The 24168-nt window shown below is 38.9% G+C and overlaps 1 protein-coding gene across 3 annotated transcripts in view, besides 2 other annotated features; it reads left to right on the top strand.

Moving 5' to 3' along the window:
- The window catches only part of POLR3B (RNA polymerase III subunit B), a 152451-nt gene that overhangs the window by 86075 nt on the left and 42208 nt on the right, over positions 1–24168 (top strand). For all 3 annotated transcript variants that reach the window (NM_018082.6, XM_017019621.3, NM_001160708.2), the window contains exons 19-23: positions 641–768; positions 10680–10889; positions 13316–13474; positions 15429–15546; positions 19656–19798. In NM_018082.6, the coding sequence (NP_060552.4) occupies positions 641–768; positions 10680–10889; positions 13316–13474; positions 15429–15546; positions 19656–19798 (758 nt within the window). The remainder of the gene's footprint in view (positions 1–640; positions 769–10679; positions 10890–13315; positions 13475–15428; positions 15547–19655; positions 19799–24168) is intronic.
- Positions 656–861: a silencer, noted in NCBI's record as "fragment chr12:106838256-106838461 (GRCh37/hg19 assembly coordinates)". NCBI's record gives its function as "represses an EF-1alpha promoter that drives an FKBP-Casp9 reporter gene in an ReSE screen in phorbol 12-myristate 13-acetate-treated (for megakaryocytic differentiation) K562 erythroleukemia cells {active_cell/tissue: K562(+PMA)}" and the evidence as "EXISTENCE:reporter gene assay evidence [ECO:0000049][PMID:32094911]".
- Positions 11367–11416: a silencer, noted in NCBI's record as "silent region_4817". NCBI's record gives its function as "represses an Ori minimal core promoter by ATAC-STARR-seq in GM12878 lymphoblastoid cells {active_cell/tissue: GM12878}" and the evidence as "EXISTENCE:reporter gene assay evidence [ECO:0000049][PMID:35858748]".

Here is a 24168-nt window from a genome sequence, read left to right on the forward strand (position 1 = left end):
TAGTACCTATTCTTTTTTTTTGAGACGGAGTCTCGCTCTCTCGCCAGGCTGGAGTGCAGTGGCATGATCTCAGCTCACTGCAACCTCCGCCTCCCGGGTTCAAGCAATTCTCCTGCCTCAGCCTCCCAAGTAGCTGCGACTACAGGTGGGTGCCACCACACCCATCTAATTTGTATTTTTAATAGAGACAGGGTTTCACCATGTTGGCCAGGATGGTCTCGATCTCTTGACCTCATGATCCACCTGCCTCGGCCTCTCAAACTGCTGGGGTTACAGGCATGAGCCACTGTACTTGGCTAGTAACTGTATTTAAAGGACGTATATTCCACTCTTAAATGGTGATACAACCTACTCATTGATATATGTTAGAAGAATGAGGAAAAGCAGGCTAGTCATCCATGTGAATATTGTTGATGTATTTCTATGTGTTGAATATAGTAATTTATGTGTTAATTACAATTTCTTATGTTTTACTGTATTTTATTTAAGTATGTTTTTATTTTACCAGTTTTACTAGCATCAAATTTTATTGACATATAAATCCCTGGAGGACCTAGATAACAATATTTTTGTACCCTTTAAAAGACATTTATTTTTGTACTTGATGCTTAAGATATGTGATTTTTACTTAACTTGTTAGAGACACCACCCACTTGGAGATTGAACCCTTCACTCTTCTCGGCGTGTGTGCTGGACTTATCCCATACCCTCACCATAACCAGTCACCGAGAAACACTTATCAGTGTGCCATGGGGAAACAAGCCATGGGTAAGATTTCCTTCTTGAAAGTTGGTTCTAAATACTTGGAAATACTTTTGGAAAAAGCCTTACATCTTTATTCCTGCTTCACCAGTATTATATGTTCCCAACCAGGCACTGGGAACACCTGAGGGTTACCAAGCCCAGGGAGTTGCCTATGGAACTCTGCAAGGCTTGGTGCCCTGCTATGTCTAAATCTTAAACAAAAAATGGAGAAAACCTCTCTAAACTTGTTTCCTTCACCAAACAAAGCAATGTGTAATAAGTGTCACAGAATTAAGAGGGATAAATATAAAGAGAAAAGCCCTATAAGATGTAACTTGTTAACCTTGAGAGAAGGGAGAAAGGGCAGAAAAACTCAAGGTTAAGGAGGAAGAGGGAGAAAAAAATAAAGATGTACGATGTCTATTTGAGTGTACCTAGTAATTGCCTGATTGACAATCCCCAAACCCATTATACCCTTGCAATTGCTAGTGTATCTCCTAAAACTTATCCAATTCATGTCACACTGATTTCTGAGTTTATTTTCCTTCCTCTTTCTCTTTGTCTTCTCTTTCATCTATTAATTTATTTATTCATTCATTTGTAACATTTATTGAGCATAACTGTAGACTAGACATGAGGCTGGAGCCTGAAAATAGAGAGATGAGGCAGAGCCCTGTGCTCAGGGAGTTCAAAGTCTAGTAGGAGAGACCAACAAATAAAACAGTAACGCAATCTGGTGTAATAAATGCTGTAATTGACAACCAAAATCTAAGAAAATTAGAGGAGGAAGATCACTTAAAGTGAGAGTGGGTTTTTTCTGAAGGGTAGAGCTGAGCTGAGTCTTGGAAGACTGAGTATTTTTGAAGGTATGAAAGTGTGAACAAGTATGGCATAAGAGGTCTCAGTACTTTAGTGTGGCTGCCTAGTGTAGCATGGTACAGAGGCGTGAAGGGGAGGTGCCATATGTTGAGGAGTTTGAGTTTTATCTTGAAGGTAATACAGAGAGAATACCAGTGCCCCCTGACCCCGCCAAAAAAAAAGTTTTACTTATAAAGCTTTTTGAAATGTTTTAAAAAATCATTTAAATCCTAATATATTTAGTAAATTTTATTTTCATATATGCCCATGACACCAATATGATTGCCATCTCTGATTTAAAGTATGATACAAGGAGCTTCATAAAGAAACTGTAAAAATACAGAGAGGGAGGCATTGCATTGCATTTGGGTAACAACCAGAATGCATTTAGCTCCTCCATTACCAACAACCAGCTGCAACTGACCATAGCTTGGCAATTAAGAAACCCTATTTCTTCATTATGGATAGAGAGTAGATATATTTCTTTTCAAGTTTTTATATTGCCCTCTGGTTAGCTACAGAGAAATAAAAAGCATTTTATCCTGCTGGTATTTACCTGAATGATGTAAGCCTGGACAGTTGAGAATAATTCCCAGTGGGAAAATCTAAACAGCAGCTCATCAATTTAGCCTTTCCCATTCATCCTCAGTAGCGGTGTAGGCTGATTTCCCGCTTGTGCTTCTGACTTGCTAACAAGTTGAAATATACAGTACTGAACCCTGTGTGTCATGAAAGGGCTATCACTTCTATTGGGTTTACCAAACCATTTTGTTTCATGATGTGAATCCCAGCTGAAACAATACACCTTTTGTGTAGAACCTTCAGCAGAATTAACGGAAGACTAATCACTTCATCGCTAATGCCACTCTTCAGTGTGTTTGAAGATCGAAACAGAGCTGCAACTATCTCTATGTAGTGAAGCTTTTTTAAAAAATAAAGAATAGACTTGAAAGAAAGAAATAATATTTTTATTTTTATAACTCCTCTCCCCACAAAAAAAAAAAAAAAAAAGAAAAGAGAAACCCTTTATATGTGGCAATGAGTATCTGAAACGTTTGGTTAGTTACCACACACAGTTAAGCAGGATCAGTGTGTACAGAAAGCCAGTTCAGTGTCTGTAGAGTTCTTTTGTAGTTTTCTGTGTGAAGGTTTTTTTTCTCGTTTTGTTTTGAGTGTCATTTGCAATTCATTGTCTGTGTTTTCTGAGGTTGGTGTATTCAGCTGCTCTGACCCTGGGTCCTGCACATTTAGCTCCTTGGATACAATCCTCTGACGTTACTGCTGACGCTAGGAAGACAAAAGCCACTGAATATCTTAAGTAATAAAAAAAAGCCTTTGTTACTGTTTGTTATTATAAAACACCTGACTGGAAAGAAAAGCAGCGAGATAAAAGTACATTTAGAGTTGGCATATAATGCAGCAGCATTTCTCTGTGGACACTGAAATAGCTGCAGAAGTATTGAGCAAAGTCTGCTTGAAAAATGACAAAAGGAAAAAGGTCAGCAGAGGGAGAAAACCCACAGCAGATACCCAGGTCTGTAATGCAGACTTCGCACTTTGAGTAGGACTTCTCTGGATCGTTTTAATTCCTTGCAGTCTTGACAGCTGACAACTAAAACTCATACTCTATCCCATTTTTACTATGAGCCATTGCTAAACATTATTTAAATTCAGAGCTTCTATGTGGATTTTCTAAAATAATATTTTAGTTGGTATTCATCTGTCTGCTGGTCCATGTATAACGTGCAAGATAGTAGCTCAGAATTAATTCACTAAATATTCTAGCCAATCTGGAAAATTTGCTCTCTACCATTCCCTACTATCCCTCCCACTCCCCCTACAAGAGAGTGAAGAAATGAGAGAAAGTCATTTTCTATCACTACGAAGGAGACCAAGGCCAGCACAAACCACAGAGATGGAAAGCCTTACCTTCTATGTAAGAGAGCTAATCCACGATAAAACACCAGCAGAGGGTGTTTTTTAAATCTTAGGCGCTTTATTAATAAAGTTCGAGTTTCCACACAGCATCTTACTGTGCCACTGAGAAGCACTTCTCCATGGGTATGGCTGTGTGTGTATTGTGACATGGCTCAGAGCAAGAAGTCAGGTGGACATCTGGAAATGGCTGGATCTCCAGGTCACTCGCTCAGCACTACCAGGAAGGGCTGTGTGTTGGAGCCGCATTTTGTGTCCTCTCATCGGCACCCGATGCCAAGTTCACATGAGCCACACTTTCATATCCTGCCCATTTATTAGTTGGCAGTCCTCTAGTGGAACACTTTCTCCTGTGTAAAGGATCATTCAGTTACTATCAGCTCAATTAATGAATATGCAGCACAGACCTTCCCAGACCTCAACAGTGGCTTCTTCTCACTACCCCTTCCTGCTTCAACTTCAAACTACTGGGACTTTTTTTAAAGCTCAGGAGTGAATGCAGCTTCTGTTTTTGTGTTTGTTTTTAATAGATTTTATTCCTAAGTAGATAGTTTCTTCCTTTATGTTCCGCACTTTACAGTAGGCTGAGATGCACTAGAAATAGGCTGGAGAATTTTGAGACACTAAAAACACAATATACAAAGATCCTCATAAAATTTTGTTTCATTCTACACCTCCTCCCCCTTTCTGTTTGATTTGATTTTTAGCATATTTATTCTTTGTCCGTTTAAGGGTACAAAATGCAAAAAATGTTCTGGCCAAATTACCCCTGGAAATTATTTTTTGAATTCTGCTATTGGTTAAAAGTTTTTTTAATTATTATAGCTATTTTAGGTTTAAGCTTATGTGGTATTTCCTAAGACTAGAATGTTAGCGATGAATATATACATATATATGGAGGTAAAATTGAGTACACTAAGTTTAGTATGTAGGTTTGAGTGGGAGGTAGAATGGATAATATTACAGGGTAATAAGGTATGTATTTTTATTATTACTAATATTGTTAATATTGGTCATAAATAATGTTGCCACTTACTGAGTATCCAAATTCTTTACATACGTTATTTCTTTTTTTTTTTTTTTTTTTTTTTTTTTTTGAGATGGAGTCTTGCTGTCACCCAGGCTGGAGTGCAGTGGCACGATCACAACTCACTGTGACCTCCACTTCCTGGGTTCAAGGAATTCTCCTGCCTTAGCCTCCTGAGTAGCTGGGACTACAGATGCACACCACTATGCCCAGCTAATTTTTTTTTGTTTTTTAGTAGAGACAGGGTTTCACCATGTTGGCTAGGCTGGTCTCGAACTCCTGACCTCAGGTGATCCACCTGCCTTGGCCTCCCAAAGTGCTGGGATTACAGGTGTGAGCCACTGCACCCAGCCCATTTTTTTTTAATTACAATAATAATCCTTTGAAATATAATACATACTTTTTTTTGTTCTGACAAGGAAGCTGAATCCCAGTTTTGTTGAGTAACATATAAAAGGTTTTCTATGTCTTCTATGTAATGTTACCTATAAAACTTACTAACATTCTTCTCAACCAAAACTAACTTCTTTTCTCATTTTTTTCCTGTCCATTGTGGATCACGATCAGGCTGCCTTTTCTGGTAGAATGTAAATTATAAGCCCCTCGAAGTCAGGAGCTCCGTTACTTATTACAGGTTGAATATCCCTTATCTGAAATGCTTAGGACCAGGAGTGTTTCAGATTTTGGATTTTTTTGATTTTGAAATATTTGCATATACATAATAAGATATCTTGGGGATGGGACCCAAGTCTAAACACGAAATCCGTTTAAGTTTCATATACACTTTATACGCATAGCCTAAAGGTAATTTATACGATATTTTTAATAATTTTGTACATGAAGCAAAGTTTGACTAAGTTTTGACTACAACCCATCACCTGAGGTCAGGTGTGGAGTTTTCCACTTGTGGCGGCATGTTGGCGCTCAAAAAGTTTCTGGTTTAGGAGCATTTTGGACTTTGGATTTTTGACTAAGGATGCTCAACCTGTGCTGCAGTTGACTCTTGAACAACACAGAGGTTAGGAGCACCAACTCCTCTCACAGTTGAAAATCTGTGTATAACTTTTGACTCCCCTAAAGCTAACTACTAATAGCCTACTGTTGACTGGAAGCCTTACCAATAACAGTCAATTAACACTTATTTTGTATGTGATATGTGTTATATACTATATTCTTACAATTCAAATAAGCTAGATAAAAGAAAATGTTATTAAGGAAATGATAAGGAAGAGAAAATATATTTATTGTTCTTTAAGTGGAAATGGATTATCATAAAGGTCTTTATCCTCGTCATCTTCACACTGAGTAGGCTGAGGTGTAGAGGAAGGGAGAGATTGGTCTTGCTGTCTCAGGGGTAGTAAAGGCAAAAGAAAATCCATATATGAGTGAGCCCTCGCAGTTCAAATCCATGTTCAAGGGTCAACTGTATATCCTTTGTGTCTAGCATAGTGCCGGCTTAGTAGGGAATATAGTAAGTCATGTTTCAAAAATGAATGAATGAATGAATCTCTGAGAATATTAAAATCATTAAGGAATCAGGGGTAGATTTTTGAAAAGAATTTTGAAACAAAGAATAAGTTGGAGGATTTATACAACCTGATTTTGATTTACTATAAAGCTACAGTAATACAGTATGATGTTGACAGAAGGGTAGACATATAGGTCAATGGAATTGGCATCAAGAGTCCAGAAATAGACTCAAACATTTATGGGCAATTGATTTTCAATGAATGTGTCAAAGCAATCCAGTGGAGAGTAAAGTCTTTTCAACAAAATAAATATCTGTATACTTATATGGAAAAAAGGAACATTAGCTCCTACCTCATAGCATATGAAAATTAACAAAAAATATATTATAGCCCTAAATGTAAGAGCTAAAACCGTTACTCTTGAAGAAGGAAACCTAGGTGAAAACCTTCATAGCTTGAGTTGAGCTAAGATTTCCTTACATAAAGAGTACAAAGTATAAAAATTGATCTTCTCAAAATTAAACTTTTGCTCTTGGAAAGATACTGTTAAGAATATGAAAATGCAAACCATAGAATGGGAGAAAGTATTTGCAATACATATATCTGATAAAGGATTTGTATTCAAGTATATATAAAGAACACTTCAATAGTAAGACAACCCAATTAAAAGATGGACAAAATAAAAACAAAAACCAAGCACTTCACAAAGTTTTGGCATGACCAAATAAGCACATGAAACTGTGTTCAGCATTATTAGTTATCAGGTAAATGCAAATTAAGACCCCTATAAGATACTACTACACACTCAGAATGATTAAAATTAAAAAGACTGACCTACTAAGTGTTGGTGAGGATGTGGAGCAACCAGAATGCTCATATACTGCTGGTGGAAATGTAAAGTGGTATAATCACTCTGGAAAATTCTTTGGAATGTTCTTAAAGTTAACTATACCCTTGCCAAACAACCCAGAAATTGCATTCCTAGGTATTAAATATTTACCCAAGTAATGAAAAAACATACAAAGACTTGTACATGAATGTTTATAGCAGTTTTATTCACAGTAGCCAAAAACTGCGAAACGATGCAAATATTCATCAGCAGGTGAATGGATAAACGAAGTGTATATTTATACAATACTAAGCCATAAAAAGAATGAAGCATAATATTCAACCATATGCATAAATCTCAGGATCATTATGCTAAATAAGCAGATACTGTATAACTCCATTTATATAAAATTCTAGAAAATGCAAACTAATCTGTAACAATACAGAACAGATCAGTGGTCCCTGAGGTGAGGAACAAAGGGAGGGATCTTTTGGGGGTTAGGAATGTTCTGAATCTTGACTATAGTGGTGGTTTCACAGGCAATTTATAGTGCAACCTTGATAAAAAGTTCTGATATATGTATATCAGAACTCATTAATTTGTACACTTTAAATGGATGAAGTTTATTGTATTCAATAATGTTGATTTAAAAGAAAATTGAGGCCAGGTACTGTGGTTCATGCCTGTAATTTCAGCACTTTGGGAGGCTGAGGCAGGCGGATCACTTGAGGTTGAGGAGTTCACCTGGCCAACATGGTGAAACCCCATCTCTATTAAAAATACAAAAATTAGCTGAGTGTGGTGGTGCAAGTCTGTAATTCCAGCTACTCGGGTGGCTGAGGCACAAGAATCAGTTGAACCCAGGAGGCAGAGGTTGCAGTGAGTCGAGATTGTAACACTGCACTCCAGCCTGGGTGATGGAGTGAGACTCTGTTATTTAAAAAAAGGCGGGGGGGGAGGAGAGGGGAGGGAAGGAGAGGGGAGGAAATTTGGCAAAGGAAGATAGGAAAAAATAGCTAAATGCATAAAACTTCATTTTAATTTTTTCAGCATACATTTTCTAAGCTGTTTACATCCTTCCTTACCAAGCTTTTTCATGCTGCCTTATAAAAGAGCACTTTTTCAATATTTTAACTTACATTTGTTTACCTTGTAGTGCCAGCTTGTGACTTAAGAAAGTTGTTATCAAGAAAATAGGGCTTTTTAGAAAGATTATGCCTTAGTAAGTAAAGGGAATCATTGGAGACCATAGTACAGCAAAATGGGATAATAGAAGTAGAATGCAACTTATAGATATTCTCCTTGTGTTATTTTATATGTGTGTATATATATGTAACGCCCTTTTTAAGGAAGCTGAAAATACTAATAGGGGAATCAAAGTTTGAGCGTGTGCTGCACACAGGCAAGCCCTATCATTTGCTTGCCTGTTGCTTATTGGCAAAATGGTTAGTCAGCCATTCATTATTTTTATAAACATTTGGGAATCTGATAGCATTTTGAAGTTTTATGATATAGAATAGTTTATAAATTCTATTTTAACATTTTAACTTACACACCCATAGTCAGTGCTGCTAAAAATGCACGTACATGTATACTCTCACAAGTTCTTTAAAAGGCCTTTAGAGAAAACTTTTTGATGTCATAAGCACTAAACATTTGCTAAACTATTTTGCTGTTCATCCATTCAGTGGTCAGTTGTAATGCCTGAGAATTATGTTCTGGGCCTGGTAGCACAATTTATAGCAGGATCCAGTCTCTTTCACCATTGTTTAGAGGTGCAGCCATTTATGCTTCCCTGCTGCATAATAATGCGTGTCTCAGGTTTCAGAAGACATGTTTGGCAGCCTGGTGGGACATTGCCTGAACCCTTGTCTCCAGCTGAGTAAGGTATACAATTGGAACTGAAATCTCAACATAAATTTTAAGTGATTTCATAAAAAAGGACAAACTTATTGTCAGTGAACTTTACCATAATCCCAGCAGTAGTAATCTTATTTCTAAAACAGTAAGTGATCTATTGCCAGGTATCCTGCCCAGTTTATTAGTTGGCACTAAAATAACATAAATCAATTGGCAATTTATAGTGCAACCTTGATAAAGTTCATGAGTTTCAGTTTGACTTGTTTTTCAGCTGAATCTTTTTAAGTTTTTAGAGATTTAAGCACATACTGTCATAAAAAGTATAATAGAATTCTTCAATTTAATTTGCTTGACATTTATTGAGCATCTATAATAAGCATGGCACTGCACTAGGTATTCCCTACATATGTACTATTTCTTTCAGTAGTAATTGTCAAGTAATTTTTGCTGCTTGAATGGTTTATTTTCTTTTTCTTTTCTTCTTTTTTTTTTTTTTTTGAGACAGGGTCTTGCTCTATTGCCCAGGCTGGAGTGTAGTGGTATGATCTTAGCTCACTGCAACCTCTACTTCCTGGGCTCAAGCGATTCTCATGCCTCAGCCACCCAAGTAGCTGGGACTACCATGCCCCGTTAATTTTTGCATTTTTAGTAGAGACATGGTTTTGTCATGTTGCCCAGTCTGGTCTTGAACTCCTAAGCTCAAGCAGTCCACCCACATCGACCTCGCAAAGTGCTGGGATTACAGGCATGAGCTACCACGCCCAGCCTGAATAGCTTATTTTCATCCCCAAAATGAAATCATCATTGATTTAATGACATGAGTATGGAGAAAAAGTTAAAGGAAATAAATACTGAGTTTTGGTGTCTGCATACCCTAGGGTGTAACTCTGTGAAATGGCACTTAGGTACTTCGGAGTGTGTGTGTGTGGTGTGTATGTGTCACTATGGAAGCGTGTGCAAGAGAGAGAGACTTAAAGCTGCCTTAGCTATTCACAGGGGGAGAAAAGAGATACCTAGGAGAAGTTAAAGAGGCTCAGTAGCCCACACTCAAGCTCAGCAGTAGAGCAAGCCTGAGTTTTCCAACTTTAACATCTCTTTGTAGCATCAGTTCTGTGTCCACAAGCCGAGGAGACTGAAAGACTCATCTTCAGGCAGGTGCATGAACCCCAGTGTGTTTATAAGGGGAAATGAGAGAAAGGGTTAACATTCTGATTTCATGTTCAGTTGACAGTGACCCAATAACACCCATCCGAGGAACAATCAGGTGGAAAGACTGATTGCTAAGGAGGGAAGAGCCCACCCCTGATTGGGCTGTACCCTAGATTTCTTAAGGAAGGGGCCAAGCCTTTTCTCATTTTATCTCCAGTTTTTGGCACAGAGTAGATGTTTATTAACTGCTTAATACATGAATCATCAAATAAATGCATAATCCACTCTTCCTTGCTCTCACTTGAATTCCTCTTTGTTCATTCTTTTTCTTCCCTTCTCTCCTGTATTCTTTTTCATTTAGAACTTTTGCAATTATTTCTTTTTATGGAATATACCTGTTTATCCATTTTATAAGCTCCTCGGATGTGAACACTGGGCGTTGTTCTTACATTACCTCTCCCCAGCAGGCCTGGAACACGGTAGAACCAAATAAAGAATTGTTGATTGTGAAATTAACCAGTGGAAACTAAATCCCTCAAATGGGATAATGTAAATCCAAAAAGTCTAAATTATTTAGATTAAAATATACTTTATATTTTTCCTTCTTTGTAGAACTTTAAATATTAGTGAGAAAAGTTGCTTTTGCAAGTTGTTAAGCCACCATGAGAGTATTGCTTTTGAAATGTTGAACCTGAAGATTTTGTTCATTTTAATTAGTGATGTTAATGTATTTATCTCTATATTCATTACTACCTTATTATTTCACATAATAGAATGTTGTATTTTGTTTTCTCCCATATCAATGCAGGTACTATAGGATACAACCAGCGAAACAGAATTGATACTCTCATGTATCTACTAGCATATCCACAAAAACCCATGGTTAAGACAAAAACCATTGAATTGATAGAATTTGAGAAACTGCCAGCTGGACAGAATGCAACAGTTGCTGTGATGAGCTATAGTGGCTATGATATTGAAGATGCTCTTGTTTTAAACAAGGCCTCTTTAGACAGAGGTAAGTGAATTTTCAAAACTAACACCAAAGTTGCTTTTTGCAGAATTAGATATAGGGATGATTAATGTAAAAATCACTTGGTTAATGTCAGTTTTAAGTTATTTGAATTTTATGATATAGAAACAGGAGGTGGTTGGGTTTTGATGTTGGCTTTCTTGTCATTTTTAATGACTAGTATATTGAAATAATTTGTTAAACATACTACTACAGAATATTTTTCTCCTTTATTATTTTATTGGTTACGTGAGACAATCCTTCAAAAAGAAAAAAAATGTAAGAATGTGTTTGTTTTCCAGCAGGAATTACAGTATATGAAATATGTGTTTTCACTGTGTCTAGTGATACATATTATTAACAACAAACCTGTTTGAGAGGGCAGTAGCAATATTTGGATGTAAAAGGCTGTTTCTTATTTGTGTAACCTCATAATTTGGTAACTTCTTTGGCCAAGTGACGAAAGTTAAAAATACACGGCCACAAACTCTGGCGTGGAGTTTTTCTGCTTTTCTTTCTGTTTTTGACAATACTTTCACAAGTCACCACCTCGTGGTTTGTTAGACATCACCTGATCTGAAGTCTGACTTCTCTATTCATAATCTCGATTTCTCTTTTTCCTTCCTGGCGTACCCACTATGCCTTCCCCTTCCCTCTTTGTAGTTGCTAGGCAGCCATAATAGTACTCCTAGACATGTGTCTTTGGCATTAATGTTGGCCACACTTAATTTATGCCTCTTTTTTTCCTCCAAATGACAACAGCCATGCTTTAAAACTAGATGTTTTCCTTTCTGATTAACTGGTAACGTTTATGTGGAAATCTGAAGACTTTGTGATGTCTGTCAGAAACTCTGCAACCCAATTCAGTGATCTGAGTTTACTATCCCCTAGCTTTTAAGCTATCACCTGTAAATAAAATGTCTGTTTACACTTTGAAGAAAACACTTCTTGATTTCATGCAGTTAAGATTCACATTGCACTCCAGCATGTTGCAGTTAATGGCTACTGTATGAAATTTCAAGATCATGTAATGTTTCCAAACCAGCTGGCATTCTGAGCCGAGTTTATTATGGCCATACACAATTTCCTAGGAGCCATGATGACTACGGCCTTGCTTAAAGACACAAATGTCTTCATCTGACGTCCAATTTTAGAAATTCGTTACTTCATCTCACAGTCACCTTCATATTTAAAAAATTACATTACAGCCCTGAGATTTTATTTATAAATCCACTTTTACCTGATTGATTTCTAAAGTCACATTCTTAGATTTCTGTTTTTGGTGGAAAATTGTTAAGTGAAGGATTTTACTGCCATGCATTTATTTCATCAGTAATAAGCGGCATTTAATCCTGAGACATTTCTTATTTAAGTGAACTCTGGCATGGCTCAGTATATCCTGAGGAGATTAGTAAGAGAATCCAGTTTAAAATAACTGCTTGGCCAAAGGGAAAAAAGAAAGAAATGCAGCCACAGAATCAGGAAATTATAGTGTTGAAGGAATGACAGCTGTTTTGGGTAACTCTACAACTCATGGATTTTTTCTTTTAGGGATTCAGTGGTTGAGTTTTTTTGCCCCACCCAAAGGTTTTTCTTCTGTCCTTTTTGCTTATTTTTCTTCCTTTTCTTTTCTGATCCATTGCTAGACAGCTTATTTTTCTTGATGTTTAGATTGTTAGTTGATTTCACAGCCTTTCCCTCATCCACTAGATAAATGCAATCTAAAAATGTAATTAAACTCCAATCTTTAGGGCAGAGGAGAACTATTTTTCCCATTGAAATAATTTGATTATTTCTTTTTTCATTCTGTCTCTTCTCTGGAGAAAAATTATTGTTTTTACTTGTTGGCTTAGAACTTGCTCTAAATGCCAAATTTTAAAAAGGAAAACTTTCCAGGGAAGTTTAGCAGAAGTTATGCACCAAAAGGATGTGTATCCTGGCTCAGGAGTCAGTGGACTTGTGCTGTTCAACACAATTCTCAACTCTGCTGCCAACTTTTTGGATGACCTTGGCCACTTAATTTCTCTAGACCTCACTCCTAGTGCCTGTAAAACAGATAGGTTAAGCAGGTGATTTCTAAGGGCCTTTCCAATTCTAATATTCTATGGCTCTGTCCTCTGAAAGAATCACAGCGCCAGTCTTAGATTTCTCTCACCGTTCTCCAGTATGACAAGGTGTATTCCATGCAGAAAATGGTTGTAGAGATTCCAGTGTTTACACAGACAGTAGGTAGGGGACAAGTCCTGTGCTGCTTCTTCAGATTATCAGATTTTTATTTGGTTTGTACTGGTCCCAGATTATTATCAAATACAGAGAAGTTTTGGGATTTGGGGGAGGGTGAGGTGGAGTGGATTGTTGAGTAGCACAAATCCATATTTCCTTATAGCTTTGGGTTACTGGTGGTTCTAATGCCCATCTTGGTTTCATTTTAGGCTTTGGGCGTTGCCTTGTATATAAAAATGCTAAATGTACGTTGAAACGATACACCAATCAGACTTTTGATAAAGTGATGGGGCCCATGTTGGATGCTGCTACAAGGAAACCTATCTGGCGACATGAAATCTTAGATGCAGATGGTATTTGTTCTCCAGGTAAAAGCCTTTTAAAAGAAAAAATTTTAATACTTTTTGACATCATATGTTATTCAATAATATTTCTGAATATTTGGCAAAAAGGGCAGAAAAAAGTAACAACCTATAAAACCACCATCCAAACTCAACCAATGAGGTCATTTTTGATGAATTTCCTTCCAGTCTGTTTTTCTATACACTATGTTTTTACCTATCAGTAATCTATGCTAACTATAATTTTCTAGTTATAATTTTGAATAATAGAAAAGCCACTTTAAGGAAATATTTAGAGTAGTTTATGTCCCTGCATCTGCACTGGTATTTCTTCATTTACACATTTAGCTTACAGACTACTTTAGAATTTTATCCCCCTGCAAAGGTATGACTCCATTATAATTACAAACTTGTAATGCATTTTGTTGATGAAACAAATAGCCCTTGCCCTTATGGGTCTCACAGGCTAGTGCAGGAGACTGACATTGATCAGAGGATCATGCATAAATCCAGGTTAAGGAATCATATAGGTAACTATGAGGCCATTTTATAGCAAGAGAATTTGACCTTGTTGGGAAGATCAGCATGGCTTTCCCGAGGAAGTGAGCTGGAATCTGAAGGATAGGGAAGAGTTAACTAAAGAAGAGGATCAGGGAGCATGTTCTAAGTAATGAGAAAAGCTTGTGCAAGGGTCCCAGAGCTTGGTAGTTGAAAGGTCTGAAAGAAGACCAGCGTGGCTAACAAGAAGAGAGTGCAGGGAAGCATGGTGCACATGAGTTGGTGGGTGACGCAAGGGGTAGGGGCCAGAGTAAGCAAGTCCTTGCAACCATGTTAGTATTGTCTTTATTTTATTTTATTAATTTTATTTTTGAGACAGGGTCTCAGTCTGTCACTGAGGCTGGAGTGCAGTGGCACAATCTCAGCTCACTGCAACCTCTGCCTCCCAGACTCAAGTGATTCTCCCACTTCAACCTCCTGTATAGCTGGGACCCATAGGCACGTGCCACCATGCCTGGATAGTTTTTTGTATTTTTTGTAGAGATGAGGTCTTACCATCTTGTCCAGGCTTGTCTTGAACTCCTGGGCTCAAGTTCTCCACCCACCTCGGCTTCCCAAAGTGCTTGAGCCACCATGCCGAGCCCATGATACTATTTTCATTATGATCCTAAAAGCAATGATATATTCAGATATGTGTTTTGAATGATCATTCTGACTACAGTGTAGAAAAAGGATTAGAAGGGCACTAAAATAGAAGGTAGACCTGGTACCAGGAGCTGTGGTGAAGGTGGAGAGAACCCAGTTTGTGAGGAGGGAAATCCACATGACTTTGTCATGGTTGGCCTGTGGGCGGTGAATGCTTTATCAAGCTGTGGTTCCAAAGAGACACAGAGTACGCGACTTCTCCTCCCTCCCTCTGCCTTTGTTTCTTGGAGAATTTTTCTCACCCTAACACTGGTCAGTATGGCTTGGAAAATACGCGCTGTGACAGTACTACAGGTAGTTGGTCTTTGAACTTACCAGGAAGAGATACAAAGCAAAAATGGGAATAACAGCATAACCAAAGAAATATTTTGATTTCCTTGTTGCCCAAGTTAAATTGGTGGTGGCTTATTACTGGTTGAAATAACTATAAATAAAAATAAGTGACCAAAACTTAACACCCTAAGAGATATATAAAATTGCTATTTACTGAGATGATGTTTCTCATGTTCATGTAGTACTCTGAATTATTTTCTTAATTTTATATAGACTATGATGTGTGTGTGTGTGTGTGGGTGTGTGAGTCTCACTCTGTTGCACAGGCTGGAGTGCAGTGGCATGACCATAGCTCACTGCAGCCTCAACCTAGGTTCAAGCAGTCCTCCTACCGCAGCCTCCTGAGTTGTTGGGACTGCAGGCCTGTGCATCTTTGCCTAGTTCGTAATCTTTGTATTCCACACAGATGATAACGATGTGCCTAACACTTTTCTTTTTTTCTCAGGTGAGAAAGTAGAAAACAAACAAGTGCTTGTAAATAAGTCCATGCCCACAGTGACTCAGATTCCTTTGGAAGGAAGTAATGTACCACAGCAACCACAGTACAAAGATGTACCCATAACGTATGTATTGGTTGTGCCCTGGTAATATGTAGAAAGGTTAGAAAAAGAGAAGAAATGGGAGAAATTCGAAGTTAGGTCTTGGCGTGTTGGAGAACTAGAAATAGCAATTTGGGGTAGCATTACTTGTCATGGAAAAAGCATGGCATAGAAGATAAAGCTAGTCTATGGAATCATATAGGCCCTAAACTGGGTTTGAGGTGTGGACCACATAGGCAGGGGTTCCTGGTGGAATTAACAACAGGATGAAGGGCACATGGCATAAAAGTGCCTGGGTTTTGGAGGATCAGTGTAGCTTGCTGGGGCTAGGTTGTGAAAGAGTTGGGAATTGATACTGCAGAGAGTGACATGATAAGAGTCATATTTTTAAACAGTAAAACACACTGGCCACAGCATGGCATCACAGTATACTAGAACATAGCCCAGCTCTAGTAGACGTTGTTTTGTGTATCTTACATGAGTAAAGCATTTAAATTCTGTTAGCTTCAGTTTTTTCATTTGTATAATACAATGAAAGAGTTAGACTTGTTAATCTCTAAATTTCTTCTAAGCTCTAAAATTTAATAAAATATGAACCTAGTGAGAAGGGCCAATGATAGTCACCACATTGTGATATAAAAACCAAACTAGAAGAGATATCTAACCTAGCCAAGGTGAACTAGGCTGAGTTTAGGAGGTGGCAGTGAGGGTGACATAGGAGAACTGGATTCTTGAGTTGTGATGGCAGTTTTACAAATGTATTCAATACACAGTAGCTGAGGCCTGCCATGTGCCAACCATCCTGCCTCTTGTGCCAGCGATATAGAGCTGAAATAAGCCACAAGCGTTGCCTGCAATGAGTCATATTTAGTTGGCAAAGACCCCCACACAAAAAAAGTGCAATAATGACCATGATCATAATAGCATATTGGGAATTTACACTGTACCAGTTACTGTTCTGGACATTTTACATGTGTTAGCTCAGTTAATCCTACCAGCATCCCAGGAGCTATGTTCTCTTAGTGGCTCATTAGAAAGATAAGATGGAAGCAAGGAGAAGTTAAGTAACTTACCAAGGTCACACAGCAATAAAGGGCAGCACCAGGATTTGAAGTCATGCAATCTGGCTTCAGAGCGCTTCTCTTGACCACTGTGCTAAACCCAGCAAAGCATTGTGGGTGCCACGGATTTGTCTCTGGAGGAGGAGCACCAAAGAGAAGATGGGCAGCTCTGCTTAGGGGATGGGTCCAGACTCTACACTGACTTCTACAGTATGAAAAGCTATTTTGCAGTTACAGAGGTGCCTCTGCTGGTTGGCTCTCTTCCCGTCTTGAAGGAGGATATCTCTTTTTCTGTGCGAAGTTCATCTCTCCTTTTGGTTTCTTAATTTCATTCACTCTTTTCAGAGACCTTTTTCTGTCATCTTCTCTTTTATCCTCCCATATTTTCAACCTGTTTCCTATTGATTCCTTCTCCACAGGCTAGAAAATGTGCTCAGATACTTTTTACCTTTAAAGGAAAATGAAAGTTTTTCCTGGTCTTTGTGTCCCTTTCTAGCTGCCACTGTATTCCTCTTCCTTTCACTACGAAGCTCCTCAGAGCAATCATCTTGTCGTCTCCATTTCTACTTTGTTACCTTCCGCTTGCTCCCTAACCCTCGGAACTGGCCTCTTACCTACCTCCTCATTCTCCTGAAACAGCTCCAGAAGAGGTCACCAAAGACATCCTATGTGTTTGTTTCATTCAAGAAATACTTTTTTTTTTTATTGAGATGGAGTCTCGCACTGTCATCCAGGCTAGAGTGCAATAGCACGATCTCGGCTCACTGCAGCCTCCACCTCCCAGTTCAAGTGATTCTCCTGCCTCAGCCTCCCGAGTAGCTGGGACTACAGGCACACACCACCACACTCAGCTAATTTTTTGTATTTTTACAAAAACAAAAAATACAATATGTTGTCCAGACTAGTCTCGAACTCTTCACCTCATGATCTGCCCACCTTGGCCTCCCAAAGTGCTGGGAGTCATAAGCCACCGTGCCCAGCCCTTAAAAAATACTTTTTGAGCACTAACAGTATGCCAGGAACTATTCCAGGCACATGGGATAGTGCAGGGAGGAAAACCAGCAGTCCCTGTCTTTGTGGGAATCACACCCCAGTGCAGGAAGACAAGAAGTAAAAAAGCAAAACCCATGTATAGTCGAACTTGCCAAATCAGACAGACTCTTTGATCGGAATCTTCTTGCAGACTGGGACTTTGTTTCTTTTTCACCTTGTACCCCCTAGTCTCTGGCATAGTACCTGGCACATAGTGGGTATTCAGTAAATAGTTATGTGAATGAATGAATTTCATATGACCCTTCTATAGCATTTGACACCACTGACCTCTCTCTTCCCTTGATGTTGTGACACTGCTCTCGCCTGGCCCTCCCTATCAGTCTAATCACTCACTCTTAGCCTCCCATCCTGCCTGGCCTTGTGATGACTTCACCCTGGCCAAGATGACTCTTGAACCTCATCTGGACAAGCTCCCCAGTTCTCAGCACTCCAGTCACCCTGTTTTTGCTGATGACTCCCATATAGACATCTGCCCAGTGTCAGCTTCATATCAGCACTTGGACAGCTTTACAGTGGTCCCAAACAGGCTCCTCCTCCTGGATCCCTGTCTTGGTAAATGGCATCAGCTGCCAGCAGCCAGCCAGTCACCAGCACAACCTGACTCCTTTCCTTTACCTGCCACACACACCAATCCTGTCGTTCCTGTCATCTTAGCAGCTCTCTTCTCTCCCTCCTCCTGCTTCATGCTACAGTGTCTGCACTGTGGCCCTCTGCTCTGCCTGGAGTTCTTGTTAACTGTCCATCTGCCTCCAGGCTGGTACCACTCAGGGTCTCTCTGCATCACTGCTAGGGTGATTTTTTCTTTTTGAGACGGAGTCTCGCTCTATTGCCCAGGCTGGAGTGCAGTGGCACGATCTTGGCTCACTGCAACCTCCACCTCCTGGATTCAAGCGATTCTCTTGCCTTAGCCTCCTGAATAGCTGTGATTACAGGGGCATGCCACTATGCCCGGCTAATTTTTGTATCTTTAGTAGAGATGGGTTTCACATGTTAGGCTGGTCTCGAACTCCTGACCTCATGATCCGCCTGCCTTGACCTCCCAAAGTGCTGGGATTACAGGCATGAGCCACCGTGCCCGGCTGGGTGATTTTCTAAACTACTCTGGCCATGTTACTCTCTTGGATAAATAGAGTGAAACTTGAGTAAGTTAAGTAAAAGTGTGAACGACAGTGGTGCCTGTGGGAAAGGTGTCCTTAGCACACCTCCCTGGCCTCATAGGCCCCTCTTGCACACTAAGCCCTATGTTTCTAGGAAATCACCTCTTATTCTCCAAAATGTGCCATCCTAATTCAATTAGGCCTTCGCTCAGGTTGCCACTCTGTCAGTGACCCACTCTGGTCAGGTCTCAAGTTGAGGTTTACCTCTTCTGTGGCAGGGCTTGACAGCTTGCCACTTCCTGCCACCACTGTCATCCCCCACCCCCAGCAGAATTGACTATCTCCTTTGAGCCTCTCCTGTTCTTCATACCAGATACCATTACTGCACTTACCTGTCTCCTCCTTGATTGGATTGTGAGCTCCTTTGGTGCAGTAACTGTCTACTTAATTGTTATGTGTCCGAAGGCTACCAGGATCTGATACCTGGTAGATTTCTAATAATGTTTGTTATGTGAAAAAAATTAATAATTGAAAAGCTGAGTAAGTAAAAGTGCTATTACTATTAAGAACTAGGAGTTGAGTCTGAAATCCCAGTTCCACTTTGTGTGAGTCATGTGCCCTTGGACAAGTTACTTAACCCCTCTAAGCATCAGTTTTCCTCATCTATAATAAGGGAATAACAGTATGGACTGTTGTGAGGATTAAATTGCACTGTGCCTTCCTCATAATAAACGTGTAGCATTGTAAAAGGGAAATTGTGAAATTTGAATTTAATGTTAAAAAAATTGAAGTCATTTTTCAGAGCCCAAGATGAAAATGTCAGAATACTCTATGGTAGGCATGAAATGAAATATAACATGGGTGAGAAGTTCACAAAGGGCAGTTTGAAAACTCTGTTTTAGTGACTTTCTCTTAACACCAGCTACAAAGGAGCAACAGACTCATATATTGAAAAAGTGATGATATCTTCAAATGCTGAAGATGCTTTTCTGATCAAAATGCTGCTGAGACAGACAAGGCGTCCAGAAATTGGAGACAAATTCAGCAGTCGTCATGGGCAAAAAGGTAAACTGTATCATTTCTCAACTTGATTATAAAACAATATATGAATGTATTTGTTAACCACTTAAATAAAATTCCCCCATTTAAAAAATTTACTTTGGAAAAGTATTACATTGTTATAAAAATTAATCTTGTTTTATTTCTTAGATTAACCTGTTTATATTTAATGGCATTTAAAAATACATGGTAGACTTGCTCCTCTATGCTGTCTGTTTCATTCTCCTGCAGTTGCTATGCCCAGAATTATAATTATAGATACAGTCTAGGTGATGTGCCTATTGAGATACATGTAGCTGTTCAAAAAATAAATAGTAGTACCTTTTTTTTTTTCTGAAAGATACATCTTTAAACTACTATATGTTCTGTTGAGTCATAGTGTCAGATGTTAGCACTAGAAGACACCTCAGAGTTATCCGTCCCCTTGTTTACAGATGAGGAAGTTCAGACCCCGCATTTTCAGTGGCCAGTCAAGGATACACAGCTACTTGGTTGCTGAGCTGGTGTTAGAACCTGGGTCTCCTGACCCCAGGGCGGTGCTTTGTGTGTGTCTTACATCTAATCCCATTGGCAAGCCTCACTCATTCCTTTGATGGTTACTGCACAGTTTTCATCTATTTGTAGTTTTGTTTATTTTCAAGAAACACGCACTGTATCACTGTTAATTTTAGCTCTGCCTGCCGCTTAGCTTTAAGAAGAACAACAGCTAACACTTTTGTAGCACTAACTGTGTGCCTGGCTGCGTTCTCATCACTTTACAGGTGCTGACTCATTTGATTCTCACACAATTCTGGAGGGAGGTGGCATCATTATCCATATTTTATAGATAAGGAAACAGAGGCATAGAAAGATTAATAGCTTGCCCAAGGTCACACAATTAATGGGAGAACTGACATTTGAACCTTGGCAGCTTGGCTCCAGAGACCTAGCTCTTAATTACTAGGCCACACTGACTGTTAAGCAGTTAGCAGTGTGCCTGGCACACATAGTAAGTGCTCAAGAAGTAGCAGCAATGATCATTAACATTGACCATCTTTTTTTTTGATATATACTTAAGATGTATCACTTCTACTTTTCTACCTTGACTCTCACATTTGCTTATAAATTACTAGTGTGATATCTTCTTATTTTTAATTGGTTTGAAGATAACTGCACATTGTGTTTCTGCTGATTTTAAGTTTCTTTGCCAAGCGAGTATATCCATGTTACGGTTTTCTTGGTCAGGTATACCCAGCCTTAGTTGTCATTCTGCCAGTGAAACTATGTCAGACTAAGATACTCTTTCATCAAAATCATTTTTAGTTCTGTTGACAGAGGCAAGATTATTTTAGCCTGCCAATATTTTTAAGAAATGATTGGTTCCATCTGTTAATGTGAATTTGACACCTGTAATTTATATAGTTCCCTGAGATACTAACCCTTAATGCCCTTTGAGTGTTTTTAAAAGTATCTTGAGTTTCTAATGTTTTATATGGCTTGCCAGTAAAAAATCAAATTCTGTATATTGAAACTGTTTCCCCTTTTATCTTGGTCTTGACAGTTGCTGAGTCAATTATGGGGTAACCTTAACCTTATTCGCTAGGTCATTGTGGGGTAACCTTAACCTCATTTGTAGTCTCTATCTTACTTGGCCTCCTACTTGGACAAGAGCAAAGTTGATATTCTTCTTGTAAAATATTGACACTGGAAGCTTCACAAGAATGTACACCATAAGAGAATATCCCCCTTCTGAATCAGTTTACAAGACTAAGGTACCCCAAATCCTTATGTCTTTATCCCATCAGGGTATTATGCAAAGAGTTGCAGACTTGCAGATATTTCAGTGGCTATGCAATGTGCTCTAATTCCACTAAACTTTTTTTTTGTTAACTTTAAGTTCTGGATTACATGTGCAGAACGTGCAGTTTTGTTACATAGGTATACACGTGCCGTGGTGGTTTGTACACCCATCAACCCATCACCTACATTAGGTATTTCTCCTAATGTTATCCCTCCCCTAGCCTCCCACCCCAGGCAGGCCTCGGTGTGTGATGTTCCCCTCCCTGTGTCCAAGTGTTCTCATTGTTCAACTCCGACTTATGAGTGAGAACATGCAGTGTTTGGTTTTCTGATCTTGTGATAGTTTGCTGAGAATGATGGTTTCCAGCTTCATCCACGTCCCTGCAAAGGACATGAACTCATCCTTTTTTATGGCTGCATAGTATTCCATACTGTATATGTGCCACATTTTCTTAACCCAGTCTATCATTGATGGACATTTGGGTTGGTTCCAAGTCTTTACTATTGTGAATAGTGCCACAATAAACATACGTGTGCATGTGTCTTTATAGTAGAATGATTTGTAATCCTTTGGGTATATGGGATTGCTGGGTCAAATGGTATTTCTGGTTCTAGATCCTTGAGGAATCGCCACACTGTCTTCCACAATGACTGAACTAATTTACACTCCCACCAACAGTGTAAAAGTGTTCCTATTTTTCTATAACCTCTCCAGCGTCTGTTGTTTCCTGACTTTTTAATGATCGCCATTCTAACTGGCATGAGATGGTATCTCATTGTGGTTTGATTTGCATTTCACTAATGACTAGTGATGATGAGCATTTTTTCATATGTCTGTTGGCTGCATAAATGTCTTCTTTTGAGAAGTGTCTGTTCATATCCCTTGCCCATTTTTTGATGGGGGTTGTTTGCTTTTTTCTTGTAAATTTGTTTAAGTCCGTTGTAGATTCTGGATATTAGCCCTTTGTCAGATGGATAGATTGCAAAAATTTTCTCCCATTCTGTAGTTTGCCTGTTCACTCTGATGATAGTTTCTTTTGCTGTACAGAAGCTCTTTAGTTTAATTAGATCCCATTTGTCAATTTTGGCTTTTGTTGCCATTGCTTTTGGTGTTTTAGACATGAAGTCTGCCCATGTCTATGTCCTGAATGGTATTGCCTAGGTTTTCTTCTAGGATTTTTATGATCCTAGGTCTTATGTTTAGGTCTTTCATCCATCTTGAGTTGATTTTTGTATAAGGTGTAAGGAAGGGGTCCAGTTTCAGTTTTGTGCATATGGCTAGCCAGTTTTCCCAACACCATTTATTAAATAGGGAATTTTTTCCCCATTGCTTGTGTGTGTCAGGTTTATCAAAGATCAGATGGTGGTAGATGTGTGGTGTTATTTCTGAGGCCTCTGTTCTGTTCCATTGGTCTATATATCTGTTTTGGTACCAGTACCATGCTGTTTTGGTTACTGTGGCCTTGTAGTATAGTTTGAAGTCAGGTAGCCTGATGCCTCCAGCTTTGTTCTTCTTGCCCAGGATTGTCTTGGGTATGTGGGCTCTTTTTTGGTTCCATATGAACTTTAAAGTAGTTTTCTCTGGTTCTGTGAAGTAAGTCAGTGGTAGCTTGATGGGGATAGCATTGAATCTATAAATTACTTTTGGCAGTAAGACCATTTTCCTGATATTGATTCTTCTTATCCATGAGCATGGAATGTTTTTCCATTTGTTTGTGTCCCCTCTTATTTCCTTGAGCAGTAGTTTGTAGTTCTCCTTGAGGAGGTCCTTCACATCCCTTGTAAGTTGGATTCCTAGGTATTTTATTCTCTTTGAAGCAATTGTGAATGGGAGTTCACTCATGATTTTGCTCTCTGTTTGTCTGTTATTGGTGTATAGGAATGCTTGTGATTTTTGCATATTGATTTTGTATCCCAAGACTTTGCTGAAGTTGCTTATCAGCTTAAGGAGATTTTGGGCTGAGACGATGGGGTTTTCTAAATACACAATCATGTCATCTGCAATGAAAGACAATTTGACTTCCTCTCTTCCTATCTGAGTATACTTTATTGGGTTCTCTTGCCTGATTGCCCTGGCCAGAACTTCCAACACTATGTTGAATAGGAGTGGTGAGAGAGGGCATCCTTGTCTTGTGCCAGTTTTCAAAGGGAATGCTTCCAGTTTTTGCCCATTCAGTATGATATTGGCTGTGGGTTTGTCATAAATAGCTCTTATTATTTTGAGGTATGTTCCATCGATACCTGGTTTATTGAGAGTTTTCAGCATGAAAGGCTGTTGAATTTTGTCAAAGGCCTTTTCTGCATCTATTGAGATAATCATGTGGTTTTTGTCATTGGATCTGTTTATGTGATGGGTTATGTTTATTGATTTGCATATGTTGAACCAGCCTTGCATCTCAGGGATGAAGCCGACTTGATCGTGGTGGAAAAGCTTTTTGACGTGCTGCTGGATTTGGTTTGCCAGTATTTTATTGAGGATTTTCGCATCAATGTTCATCAGGGATATTGGCCTAAAATTCTCTTTTTTTATTGTATCTCTGCCAGATTTGGTATCAGGATGATGCTGGCCTCATAAAATGAGTTAGGGAGGATTCCCT

Source organism: Homo sapiens, chromosome 12 (assembly GCF_000001405.40).
Source record: "Homo sapiens chromosome 12, GRCh38.p14 Primary Assembly".
Classification (NCBI taxonomy): domain Eukaryota; kingdom Metazoa; phylum Chordata; class Mammalia; order Primates; family Hominidae; genus Homo; species Homo sapiens.